Raw genomic sequence first — 13,960 nt, 5'->3', positions numbered from 1 at the left:
AAAAAATCTGGTGTATCCATTCAATCCAGTCAAAACTATGCAACTGTAAAACAGAATGAGGCTGCTCTCTGTGAACTGATATGTGAGGATTTCCAAGGTAAACTTTAAGTGAAACAAAGCAAGGTGTAAAACAGTGTATATAGACTCCACAACTTATACATAAAAGATAAATAATATTTTTATGTTTATTTTATATGCTTAAAATTTTGGAATGTGTCCACAAGAAAATAATAAAAACAACTAAATATTGGGAAGTGGGAGAACTGGATGGATGGAGAATAGGCATAGGAGGGAAACTTTTCAATAAACATCTTTTTATATGTTTTTTGAGCTGCTTGACTAAAAACGCAAATTTTAAAAATTAAAGGTATAAATGAACACATTAATATATTCTAAAATTATTGTGACAATCATATAAGATAGCCCAGAGCCTTATACAAAGTTGACGCTCAATAAACACTAAGATCCTTCCTTCTACATGGGATAAGGACATATCAGCTGAAGAATGATGAAGTTCATGCATTTGGAAAGGAGGGCATTATTTCTCAGAAAGGGCTGCAGCCTGCAGGTGGCTCTTCTGACAGGCTGGGAAGTGTAGCCTCCGGCCAGAAGCCAGAAACAGGCACTTCAAGGGTGGGAAGAATAAGACAGGGATTTATGCTGAATGGGGCTGCCAAATATGCATATTCAATGAGCTCTAGGAGGAGTCATGAATATTTATGAAAGGAGAAACAGGCACATGCACACTGAGCTTCATGCCTCTCTGTCTGTGGGACCCATGTTTAAAAAATGGTGGCATGAGCATGATCCAAGGATGGAGTTTTTAGCCATGTGACATCAAAAGGTGAAGCAGAGGACACAAGAACCCTCACTGAGCCTCCTCTGTAGACTCACCAGAACCACTCCAAGGTCAGCGGCTTTGTATCAGGAAGAGAATGCTGGTTAGTTGTTTGGTCAAAACCACAAAAGGGAGGGACAGCATCAGGCCGTTGCTGAAATGAGTATGGAGCTTCTAGCCCGCAGGGAGGAGAGCCTGATGGTGGTCAGCGAGGTGGGGGTCTCATGAGGCGTGTTTCCCCTCCTGTCACAGCCAGGACTCAGTTCTAAGGTTTCTTTGGGTGCCCCTTGGCCAAGAGGGGGTCCATTCATTTGGCTGGGAGCTTAGGATTTAATTTCATTTCTCAGAGAACACCACAAAACAGATTGATGACAGCCCAGAAGCAAAGCAGGAGGCCAGGGGATATGGCTCGTGACAGCACCAGCAAGGCCCTGAGCAGGAAGACCTGCTGCTCTCAAAGAGCCTGCTCTGTGGGTCTCTGGGCCCACCATCTCCGGCTTCTCAACCTCTCATAACTCAATGGCCACCTACTTTCTTTCTCTTTAAAAGTGAGCCCATGTCCCTCTATCTTTAGAAACAAACTTTGTTTCATCCTGCTAGGCCATCAAGTACCACTTCCATTTAACACCAAAATCCTTAATTAAAAAAAAAAATACACGCACCATATGGAAATCTCTCCACTTCCTCTCCATCTGCTCCTTCCGACTTCCTTGAAATCTGGCTTTGATTTCAAAGACTTGCCTGAAGCTGTGCTCTTCAACAATGACCCCCTCTTGCTATTCTGATGGCATTTTCTCAGCCAGTCCTTATCCAACTTTTCACCTTTCCACGTGGTGGTGCTGCTGCTTGTCCACTACTTCCAGCTCCTTCCTTAATTTCGAGGCCCCATGTCCCTTGGGGCCACATACACTCATCATCAATTAAAGTCCAGATGCTGTGCCCTGGAGGTAATAATATTGCACAGCTGTGGGAAGGATTCACAAGTTCATACTTAACAAAACGCTAACCAAAGTGGCTCCATCACTAACATCATCATTTCTTCAGAAGACAATGGATAACCATGCAGAAGCCCTGCAGATAGGACTCTGCCGCAGAGTCCACGGCCCACAGAGGGAGTCAAGCAGAAAAGCAACAGCCCAGGACAAGACACTGACTTCTAGGAAAGCACAAGAGGAGGGTTCCCAAAGCAAAGGGAGACCCAGATGCCAAGGAAGTAGCGTATTGATGATGGTAACAGTGACAATGAGAAGAAAAAGATGTCTGCCTTTCCTGTCAGCACCTGCTATTTTACACTTCAGTAAGCACTTGGTCTCATTTAACCATGTAAAGGAAACTACTCAGGAGGCTGAGGCAGGAGAATGGTGTGAACTTGGGAGGCGGAGCTTGCAGTGAGCCAAGATCGTGCCATTGCACTCCAGCCTGGGTGACAGAGCGAGACTCCATCTCACAAAAAAAAAAAGCTCGGGACCCCCAAATTCCTTACGCAAAAGGGAAAGTTAAGCCAAGAGGGTGAGCCAGGCAATGCCCTCTTCCCCAGGAACAGCTGTTAGGAGCATCAGGCATCAGCCAAACCCCGCAGAAAAGTGAAAGCCTCAGGGGTCTGGAAGGGTTGCCCCATAGATCATTCCTAAGTAAATTCTTTGCTGGCATCCCATAAACAAGAACATCTCATTGTAACTTCACGTCTACAATCTGATTCTAGGTTAAAACTGAAGTCTGTTCCATTCCACATTGATCATGTCTATTACAAGCTTCGCTTCCCAGGTGCAGAAAAAAGACAAGATGAGATCAGTCATTCCTCCACCTGCCCAGAGACATCTGCATAATTGATTCTTCCTTTACGCCCTTTTTTCTCTTCAAACATTCATTCACCTTATCTTATGTAAAATGCAGATTTACTGGCACTAACTAGAGTCTCACAAGAATGTAATCATTCGCCTTACAGCCCACCTGCCCCTCTTCCGAGCCTTCCCCCCTTTAAGGAAACATACAAATACTAAGCCTCCTGAAAACCTCTTTAGAAAAATAGATACAGATGTGTCTGTGGCTGGTATTTTTCCAGATGCACCCTAAAGCTGGCTTAATAAACGTCAACAATTGAGACCTCTGCCTCAGTCACTCATCTCAGCTATCAGCCACATGTCACCATATAAAATTTATATTGCCAGCCGGGCGTGGTGGCTCACTCCTGTAATCCCAGCACTTTGGGAGGCCGAGGCAAGCGGATCATGAGGTCAGGAGATCAAGAACATCCTGGCTAATACAGTGAAACCCCGTCTCTACTAAAAAAACAAAAAAAAATTAGCTCCGCGTGGTGGCAGGCACGGTGGCGGGCACCTGTAGTCCCGGCTACTCGGGAGGCTGAGGCAGGAGAATGGCGTGAACCCGGGAGGGGGAGCTTGCAATGAGCCGAGATTGCGCCACTGCACTCCAGCCTGGGCGACAGAGCAAGACTCCGTCTCAAAAAAAAAAAAAGGAAAAAAGTTTATATTGCCATCCCCACATTACAGATGAGGAAACTGGGGTTGGCTCCAGAGTACTCAGCAGTTCCGAGACGGGCGGGTGCGCAGCGAAGCTGAGTGCCGGGATCGGCCTGGAAAGGGCCTTCAGCGTTGCCCACGCGGAGAGGGAGAGTAGAGGAGGCACTGAGCAGCTGAGGAGTCCACAGGAAGCAAGGAGAGGGAGTGGCCCCAAAACTCCCTTTAAAGGGGGTGGGCGGACTGCAAGTCATGGAGTCAGGCCGGGCAGCGAGGGGAGGTGTGTGTGGTGCCAGGTGGGTCTGGGAGCTGGTTTTCCACCAAGGGAGTGGACTGGGCAGAACTCTGGTTGGAGCCGTCTCAAAGGCTTAGTGCACTCTGCATCTCCACCTCTTGAAATCCTACTCTGCGTCTTCCTTGAGGGATCAAAGCTCTGCTGTTGGCCTCCCTGAGAAGTCCATAGCCACGACTGCAAGTGTCACTTCAAAATGTGAAAGGAAAATAAAATCCTGGGACCCCGAACTCACTATGCCAAAGGGAAAAGTTAAGCTGGATGCAAAAAGCTGACTTTCCTTTTATTCCTATACAGATTGCTGCAAGATAGAAGGCCACGTGTCTCCCCAGGAGGCCTCCTTCACCCTAACAATGTAAGTTAACAGCTCATCTTGGCAGGCATGGCACAAAGACAAGACCAGAAATCATCCCTCTGCCGCCCTGAGACAAATGTGTACATGACTTCTTCCTCTACTCTATGTTTACTTTATCCCGTGTAAAATGCAGATTTACTGAACAAGAGACGCATGCGTAATTGACGTCCCTCTACCCCTCCTTTCACATGTCACATGTATTCAGTGAGCGAAAATCAAAGCCTCACAAGAATGCGACCACTCACCTCACCACCTACCTCTGCTGTTTTCTTTCCACCTTCCCCTCCTGTCTGCTCTTTCCTCTTTAAATAATGAAGTTGTCGAAACCCTTTTTGGGTCCTACTGTGACGTGTGTGTCTTTTTCCCTCAACCCTGGCAAAATGAGCCTCTAAATTGATTGAGACCTGTCTCAGACACTTTTTTGTTTACAGCAGACAGGGACTGGAGGTTCCAGATCATCAGCAGCAGCCCACGCCAGCCCCTCCCCTGCTGCCCGGATGCCTGGCCTCAGAGTCAACGTGCTCCTGCGAGAAGCCACCAGCTAATAAACCCACAGGCCGCTTCTCCCTCTTCCCCGTTCTGCCACTGTTCTCTGCGCATAGAAGGTCCTCGGGACATACTCAGAGAGTTCGTAATTTCAGAACCTTGTCAAAAAATAGACACTTGAGGCCAGGCGCGGTGGCTCATGCCTGTAATCCCAGCACTTTGGGAGGCCAAGGCAGGCGGATCACAAAGTCAGGAGATGGAGACCATACTGGCTAACATGGTAAAACCCCATCTCTACTAAAAAAAAAATACGAAAAATTAGCCAGGTGTGGTGGCAGGCACCTGTAGTCCCAGCTACTGGGGAGGCTGAGGCAGGAGAATGGTGTGAACCCGGGAGGCGGAGCTTGCAGTGAGCCGAGATCGTGCCACTGCACTTCAGCCTGGGCGACAGAGCGAGACTCCGTCTCAAAAAAAAAAAAAATAGACACTTGAACTCAAGATGGTTAATGGAGCCACGCACGTGTAATTCATCGTCAAGATTTGGTATGCTAATCCTGATGACTTTCTTTTCTCACTCTTGCCCAGGATGGAGTGCAGCGGCACGATCTTGGCTCACTGCAACCTCTGCCTCCCAGGTTCAAGCGATTCTCCTGCCTCAGCCTCCCAAGTAGCTGGGACTAGAGGCAGTGACACCACACCCGGCTAATTTTTATACTTTTAGTAGAGACGGAGTTTCACCATGTTGCCCAGGCTGCTCTCAAACTCCTGACCTCAGATGATAACTCTGATGACTTTTTGAAGATTATATCCTTCTCTGAACTTATTTCCTTCTTTATTACAAATGTTCACCAAGGAAAAATACCAATATGAATAGATTAACCAAACATTTCAGAGTATTCACTGGAAATCCTTATACCTTATATATATTGAACAATAGTCACAGTCCCATATGCTGAATACTTTGTTCATCACGCACATCTGTCATAATTTCCATACTTTTAATATTACATTAAAGTATTATTTAACTCAGTTACTGAGGGGTGTTTTGTTTTGTTTGGAGTTTGGCGCCTCCTTAAACGTGGCACCTCACTTGAGTCACGGCCCTGTCAAATAAGGACCTGACTTGGAAGCAAGAAAAGAGCAAAGAATGTGAACACATTTGCTATTTCCAGCTCAGGACGCAAAAACTATCCTCATTCCTTTTCCCACATCCAGCCCTCTCCTAATTACCAGTCCTGCCATTTTCACAGCACGAGAGCTCACTTTCAGGAACTGAGGATAAAAAGGGGCATCCCTGGTGAAAGCAAATGCGTGACATGCTGCAGCCAGGCGCAGTGGCGGCGCCCATAGCTCCAGCTACTTGGGAGGCCAAGGCACAAAGCAAGATCCTGTGTCTACAAAAAGAAATGTATGCAGAAAAGTGAAATGGATAAAGACCTATCTTTTAAAAGGCAAATTTCTAAAAAACAAAAGCTTTTTCTGTGGAGTGAGAAGGACGTGGTTTTCTTTCTACTACTCCTCTTCCCACCTGCTTCTCCCTGAGCAAGCTTCATAAAAGTAGAAATCCAGAGAGATGCTGCTACCAATTTTGTAACTATTTGTGAAGAAAAAGAAAATTGAGTCAAAGCGTTTGTGTGACACAAATTTACATTATCCATCTGTAAGGGGTACAGCCGAGTACAAAAAAGTGAGAAATATGGCCTGGTGCAGTGGCTCACGCCTGTAATGCCAGCAATTTGGGAGGCCGAGACAGGTGGATCACCTGAGGACAGGAGTTAGAGACCAGCCTGGCCAACATGGTAAAATCCCGTCTCCATCAAAAAAAAAAAAAAAAAAAATTAGCCATGTATGGTGGTGTATACCTGTAGTCCCAGCTACTGGGGAGGCTGAGGTGGGAGAATTTTTTGAACTCGGGAGGCAGAGGTTGCAGTGAGCTGAGATCGCGCCACTGCACTCCAGCCTGGGTGACAGAGCGATACTCCGTCTCAAAAAAATAAGAAAAAGAAAAGAAACATGGATGACAGGCGAGGTGTAGTGGCTCACGCCACTTTGGGAGGCACTTTGGGAGGCTGAGGCAGGTGGATCACCTGAGGTCAGGAGTTTTAGACCAGCCTGGCCAATATGGCAAAATCCCATCTCTACTAAAAATACAAAAATTAGCTGGGCGTCGTGGTACACTCCTGTAGTCTCATCTACTGGGGAGGCTGAGTTGGGAGAATCACTTGAACCCGGGAGGTGGAGGTTGCAGTGAGCCAAGATTGCGCCACTGCGCTCCAGCCTGGGAGACAGAGCAAGACTCTGTCTCAAAACCAAAAAAAAAAAAAAAAAAAAAGTGAGAAAAGTGACTGGCTTAAATAAATAATAGAAATAAAGAAGTGAGAGCCATTTTAAAAATCAGCTGTGAAGTAAAAGTCCTTACATAAAAAAATTAAGAAGGGATAATGTAGACAATTTTTCACAAAGAAGTAATTTTCAAATTATGTTAAGTGTGTCGCAATACAACATAGACTCTGATGAGATCACCACTAGATTTTTTTTCTTAGGATAAAGTTTTCTATGCTGTGAATTAATATTTTCTGTGTTTCAATAAAAAGAACAAGCATTGCTAGTTTTTTGTAAAAAAAAAATTCTAAATATAATTATTCTGGCTTTCAATTGCTTTCTGCACAAATAAAGATTTTTAAGTCTGTGTGTTTATTCTTTTTATTCTTTTTCTTTTCTTTTTTTTTTTTTTTTTTTTTTTTTTTTTTTTTTTTTTTTTGAGACGGAGTCTCGCTGTTGTTGCCTGGGCTGGAGTGCAATGGCGCGATCTCGGCTCACTGCAACCTCTGCCTCCCTGGTTCCAGCAATTGTCCTGCCTCAGCCTCCCGAGCAGCTGAAATTACAGGCACACATCACCACACAACGGCTAATTTTTGCATTTTTAGTAGAGATGGGGTTTCACCATGTTGGCCAGGTCAAACTCCTGATCTCAGGTGATCCACCCGCCTCGACCTCCCAAAGTGCTGGGATTACAGGCGTGAGTCACCACGCCCAGCCTTGTGTGTTTATTCTTAATACCTTATTTTTGGAAGAAGAATCTCCATTCTAATTATCCAAACCTGATAGCTGTAAAATTGAATGGGAAAGACTAGAAACAAGAGGACACAAAGAAAATAATTCAGAGCTGTAAACAACCACTTAAAATTTGAGGGAGATGAATGAGTCCCGAAGAGAATTAAATAGCCACAAAAAGCCAAATAAACTATGGTTTTAAAACATCACACGGCGATAGGCCCAGAGATAGGCTTTGGAAACGTTTGCAGCTACATCTGAAATCACAGACTCATAATGTTCAGGAGGAACCTGGCCGGGCAGCCAAACCGCGCATAGGCCTCTGGGGGAGATGCAGGGCTGAGTGTGCAGACGGCGGGTAGGGGCAGGAGACCGGCCTGTCTGCAGCAGGCAGCCTGTCTGCTGGGCCAGAGAAGACCCAGGGAGCCAGTCTCTCGGAGTCCTGCAGCATGCTCGGGCCGAAGTTAACCACCTCTGCTTGCTGCCTTCATCAACACAAGAGGGCGGGGGAGCTGCAAAACCAAGTATCTCCAACTACGCTCTCCACACTGAACTCACTAGGGCTCACTGAAACAGTGCATTCATGCCTGGCCTCCAATTTACTTTTCCCCACCTGCAGACACAGGCGTGGCTTGTTATGTCCAGTCACGGAGAGGAGCCACCTTCTGGAGGGTCCCACTGGGAGGGAATGACAACAATCCTGTTAGGCTTTGAACTCCTGAATTAAACTTGAACACGGTCTACCAGATGCCATGGGCATTTGTGACACTCAGGGAACAATGAGGTCAACACGTCACACGTTACTCAAACGTAGAGTTGCCCCATTGCTCCCCGGCTCCACCCTGCCATTGCACCTGGCAGCGGGATTCCCACAGCCTGTGCTGAGCCTCACTGTTGGGGACTGCAGTGACCTTCCTCACCGTCACAGGACAGAAGATGCTTCTAAAACTACAAGTGTCCAGAAAGCAACTTGGGCCACCTTCTTACAGGCTGAGCTCTCTGTTACTGGAAGAATTCAAACAAAGTCAGGATTACCCTCTATCAGAGGGGATTCACTCTTCCATAAGGAATTATGCCAAGCAGTTTGAGAGCACTGGTCACTGCAGTCCCAGGGGGAGAGCAGCAGGCTCAGACAGGGTTAAAAGTAGTCTCTTCCCTCAATTAAAGGATGACTTTTCAATGTGTTCATTCATAAGGCTCCTTCCTAGATGAGAGGCAGCGGAAACGTAAAAATAAAGAAAAGGCAACAGATTACGTCAACACAGGACTTCACAGTGTCAGTCACCTAATACGACTAATGCAATCTTGAAAGCAGGATTCGCCAAGTCAGAGATGCAGCTAAAAGACTTGCGAATGATTCTTTTCCCTCAGAGGCGCAGCATTCTCTCTTGTAAACAGAAACGATGTATAAAACTACAGAAGATCTTATGATCAGATATGCAATAAAATATGTTATCTCATCCTAAAGTTGAAATCTCAGGATGGAGTCAACTATGATTCCTGCAACAATGCAGACAACACTGTTTTCAACTCAAAACATAATTTTTTATACTCTGTGAATAGGCCACACATAGTTTTTTGGTTTTGGTTTTTCATCCTTTCTTCCCTTGGGTATATCAGTCAAGGAATCATTTATTATAAAAATTATAATAGAAATGAGACATAGTGGCCTCAAGTAATGTCTCATGACCTGAGCTTTAAATCGTAAGTCTCAGAGCTATGAGGCAACTGTTCCCGGAAATATTGACCTCAAAGGTCATCTCATGCGGGGTTTCCAAAATTCAGCCCCTGGAATGCCCTTTTCATGGTTTTTGCCATAAATATAGACGATCTGTACTGTTTATTTCCTTATCATTTTTTGATAGACCTAATCACTCTTTTGGCTGAAAATAAGTTTATTTAAAAGGAGAACTGCTATTACTACCATAAATAGAAAGCCAGTATCCCTGGTCGTAAGTTACAGGCAAATCTAAAACACGCACACACAAAAATGAGAGAGTCATCTAGTGATAACTTTTAGAGAGAGACAAACTGAACTTAACAAGTGTTCCAAATGCTTAATGAATTTGTCTTTGCTGCAGGGAGAGGGTACAAGTCCTGCCTCCACCCACCTCTAGAACTCCAACTTTTCTGATGTATCCAAGACCAAGGATTGGTGTGGTGTCTGTAAACAAAATGCTGTCAAACAAAAGGAAACTCAGGAGCGAGCTGGCTCACGCACAGCAGCTGCACGACCTGGGCCAGCTGCCCCGCCACTGCGCACCTCTGTTACTCGCCCGTGAACTGGGACGAATCATACCCGCCGTGGCCACTTCAGAGGGGTGTTGTTCATTACGACAATCGATTCGTGTTTCTGCACCATAAAGTCCACATGAGCAAAAGGTGCCATGACAGAGAGGAGCAGCAGCTAAGTTAATCAATACTATGAAGTATTTAATAGGTATAAAGGGCTTCATGAGAAATAAGAGCTGCAGCAGCATTTAAAAACAGTGAATGACCTCACCCACTAAATGGCTTGATGTGTTCCAGACGTAGCAGGCCCTGAGTTCACCAACAGTTACTGTGAGTGCTGAGCTCCCCATCCATTCTTAAGCTCTCCTCATTTAAAGCCAGAAAGCTGCGCAACAAAGGAAGGGGACAGCGAGTCACTAGGGAAGGGGACTGCGGTCCGTGGTGGAGAGGGAGCATGACTCAGTGTAAAGTAAGAGGGCTTTTCTAACGTGGACAGGAACAGCACTGCCCACACACACCCACCAGACAGGAGCTCCATCACCCAGGGTCCTGCCTAGGTCTGTGGCCCAGGCAGCACCACAGTGACACAGACAGACACCAGACAGACACTGGCAGAGGCCACCTCCCGTCCACTGGCTTTGAAATCCCCGGAATGCCTAGCGGCACATTAAGAGCAGCATCAAGCTTTCCATTTGTCATCCAGTGCCATTTTAAACTCAGAAGGAGAAAAACACAAGAAATTTTAGTCTTATGGATGGGCATTTATTCTATTTTATGAGGTCACACTTAAGATTCACTATGAATCCCAGCATTTTGGGAGGCTAAGGCAGGTAAATCTCCTGAGGTCAGGAATTCGAGACCAGCCTGACCAGTATGGTAAAACCCCGTCTCTACTAAAAATACAAAAATTAGCCGGGTGTGGTGGCATGCACCTGTAGTCCCAGCTACTCAGGAGGCTGAGGCACGAGAATCGCTTGAACTCGGGAGGCGGAGGTTGCAGTGAACTGAGATCATGCCACCGCACTCCAGCCTGGGCGACAGAGGGAGACTCTGTCTCAAAAAAAAAAAAGATTTCACTATGAATTAAAGCTCCATCCCCAGAAATCAGCGATGGCCACAGGCAGCAGGGGAAGGAGGCAGTGGTGCGCAGGGAAAGCCGGAAGCTCCAGGTGAGCGGTCCTGCCTTGAAGGGACCCCTGCGCTGAACCCTCCCAGTGCTGACAACACTCAGGGAACAGTGACTTCACAAGGACAGGAAGCGAGGGACCGGACGAGTGGCAGATGTATACTCAACCACACGGTAATGCAGAAAATTCTATTCCAGATGACACAGAGAGACAAATATTTAACATAATGTGAAATTCAACTGTGTACACTGATAAAGATTAAAAGAAGACATAGATTCCTCTAGTAGAAACAGTTGGTGTCATATGATAAAAAATTTTTTCTTAAATGGCTTTTATTTTTATTATAGGAGTAACAAACGTTCATTGGAGAAAATACAAAAATAGAAATAAACAGAGAAGATAAAATCACCCATAATCCCACCACTCAGACAGAAACATTACTTATATTTTGGGTTATTCTTCCAGACTTTTCTCTATATGAATATAAACATACACATTTTTAACTGAAGTGGGATCACAGTGCACATACTGTCTTGTGACGTGCTTTCTTTAACTCAGCCTGCCTTGAATGTTGCCAGGTTCAACAGATACACTTCAACAATACTGTAAGGTCTTCCCAGTGGCACCCACGGAAAATAGACAGGTGTACCATTGTTCTACCAATCCTAATTGTTCAATTTATTAAAAAGATAAAGGATAACCAATTTCAAATATTAATTTTTTAAGTGATGAATGCCTTCTAGTGAAGAAATCTTATCTGTAAGTCCATCAAAATGAATTGAGACAAAAATGAAATACTCTTTCAGTAAAAAAATCATCTGAATAGCTGAGCAGGTCAGGATCTTCCATCCAAATTGCTTTGGGGATGTGTACCTTAGGCTTCGGGCTAAAGAAACTGGGAGTCTCTACAGGTTGAAGCTATCCCTGAGAGCTTAGGATACGTGTAGGGGCAATTTAAGAAATATCTTTTTTGTGGCTATAGACCCTGCCTTTACAGTAAACTATCATCCTTGGGAATTCACCTGTTACCACTGTGAGAAGCTGCTATCTTTGGCAATGCCCGATGCTTTGATGTCTGCTTCACCTGACATTGGTGCACCAGCTTCCTTATGGCTAGTGTGTGCACCGGGCATCCTTCTCCCTCCTTTCACTATCGTGCCTTCTGGATTCCTTCATCTAAGCACGTCTATCGTAAGCAGCAATTTTTTAAATATTCAGTTTGACAATCTCGGTATTAACTGGCATATTTAGTTCAGTTGCATTTTATGTAATTATGAAGTGTTTGAGTGAAAACTGACCATGTTGCTATCTGTTTTCTATTTATCCCATCTGTTTGGTTTGTACATCTCTCCCTTCTTACTTTCTTTTGGATTCACTGAGTACTTCTTATCGGTTCAGTTTTCCCTCCTCTGTCACCACATGCATCATGCATTATTAGTATTTTAGTGGTTACTTTGGAGATTGTAACATGTGTCCTAACTCACTAGTTCCCAAGAGAAATTAGTTCTCCAACAGCTTCCCTAACAACAGCAGCACCCACCCTCCACGTCCACCCTCAAGGCTGTTACCATCATGTGTTTTAATTCTGCCTGCACATCACACCCCACAAGGCACTGCTGTGACTTGCTGGTGACAGGTAGTCGCTGTCCACTCAGAACCACCCGTGGCTTTGCTGTTTACGTGGCTCTGCATTCCCTCCTACATTCCCATGCTTCCATCAGGACCCTTTATCCTTCCGCCTGAAGAATTTCCCTAATAATTTCTTCTACTATAGTTCTTCTGGTGACAAGTTCTGTCTGATTCCGTTTGTCTGAAAATGCCCTTTGGTGGCCTTCATTTTTGAATAGAATTCTAGGAAAAGAGTTACTTTCTCCACTTTAAAGACTGTCATTTCATCGTCATCTGATTTCTATGATCTCTGTGGAAAAGTCAGCTGTCAGCCGTAGAGCTGTCCTTTCACTCAGATGCACCTCCAGCTCCATCTACATTTCCACATTGCCTTGTGTTCTAGTTTTGCAGTGACATGTCAGGTGTGGTTCTCTGTGTATTTGCCATGTTTGGAGTTTGTAAAGTTTCTTGAATTTATGGCTTCATGTCTGACAGAGTTTGGGATACTTCTCAGCCAGTATCACTTCAAATCCTGCTGGCACCCCCATCTCTCTCCTCTCACCGTCCCTCACCTTTGCACGCTGGGCCTTTTCTCCACATCTCCGTGGCTCTCATGCTCTTTCCTCTATTTTTTCATTCTTTTCTTCTCTATGCCTCACTCTGGATATTTTCTGTCAATCTACAGTGCAGAGTTCACTCTCCTATGTGCAATCTGCTATCCAATTTATATTTAATTCTTCATTTCATTTATTGTATTTTTCATTCCCAGAATTTCCATTTAAGTCCAGTTTTATACATTCTTTTTTTTTTTTTTTTTTAGACGGAGTTTCACTCTTGTTGCCCAGGCTGGAGTGCAATGGCATGATCTCAGCTCACCACAACCTCCAACTCCCAGGTTCAAGCCATTCTCCTGCCTCAGCCTCCCAAGTAGCTGGGATTACAGACGTGTGCCACCACACCTGGCTAATTTTGTATTTTTAGTAGAGATGGAGTTTCTCCATGTTGGTCAGGCTGGTCTTGAACTCCCGACCTCAGGTGATCCTCCCGCCTCGGCCTCCCAAAGTGCTGGTGTGAGCCACCACGCCTGGCCTATACATTCCATTTTATTTGTGCAATTCTCCATCTTGTCCTCTACTTTCTTGAATATATTAATGATGATGCTTTTAAAATCTGTATCTCATTAGTCCAAAAACTACATCACCTGTTGCTGTTTCCATTGTTGGCTTTTACTCTTTCTCCTTCATCTTTTAATCATTTGGACCTTAATTTTTTATTGAAAACCAAACACTGTGTATTACAAACTAACAGGAGAACTGGAGGCCCTGGCCAATGTTATCATCCTTCAGAGAGCGCTGACTCTGGTTTCTGGCAGGCAGAGCAGGGCAGGGTGCCATAATCCTCTCTGAACTGAGTGGGTTCAAGGCTGAGTCCCGGTCTTTTGTGAAGGCTAAACTATTTCAGGTTTACTCTTATTCCTAGGTTGGGGTCAGG

The 13,960-nt window shown here is 45.1% G+C and overlaps 1 protein-coding gene across 39 annotated transcripts in view, besides 2 other annotated features; it reads right to left on the bottom strand.

Annotated features, from left to right (window-relative positions):
• LDLRAD4 (low density lipoprotein receptor class A domain containing 4) overlaps positions 1–13,960 on the bottom strand; it is a 435,073-nt gene that overhangs the window by 323,684 nt on the left and 97,429 nt on the right. The window lies entirely within an intron of this gene.
• Positions 7,792–8,291: an enhancer, noted in NCBI's record as "H3K27ac hESC enhancer chr18:13320779-13321278 (GRCh37/hg19 assembly coordinates)". NCBI's record gives its function as "activates a minimal SCP1, AML or CMV promoter by ChIP-STARR-seq in naive H9 embryonic stem cells {active_cell/tissue: H9 hESC(naive)}" and the evidence as "EXISTENCE:reporter gene assay evidence [ECO:0000049][PMID:30033119]".
• Positions 9,758–10,259: an enhancer, noted in NCBI's record as "H3K4me1 hESC enhancer chr18:13318811-13319312 (GRCh37/hg19 assembly coordinates)". NCBI's record gives its function as "activates a minimal SCP1, AML or CMV promoter by ChIP-STARR-seq in primed H9 embryonic stem cells {active_cell/tissue: H9 hESC(primed)}" and the evidence as "EXISTENCE:reporter gene assay evidence [ECO:0000049][PMID:30033119]".

This window comes from Homo sapiens, chromosome 18, assembly GCF_000001405.40.
Source record: "Homo sapiens chromosome 18, GRCh38.p14 Primary Assembly".
Lineage (NCBI taxonomy): Eukaryota > Metazoa > Chordata > Mammalia > Primates > Hominidae > Homo > Homo sapiens.
The sequence above is the reverse complement of the archived record's forward strand: the minus strand, read 5'-3'. Positions and strand labels throughout refer to the sequence as shown.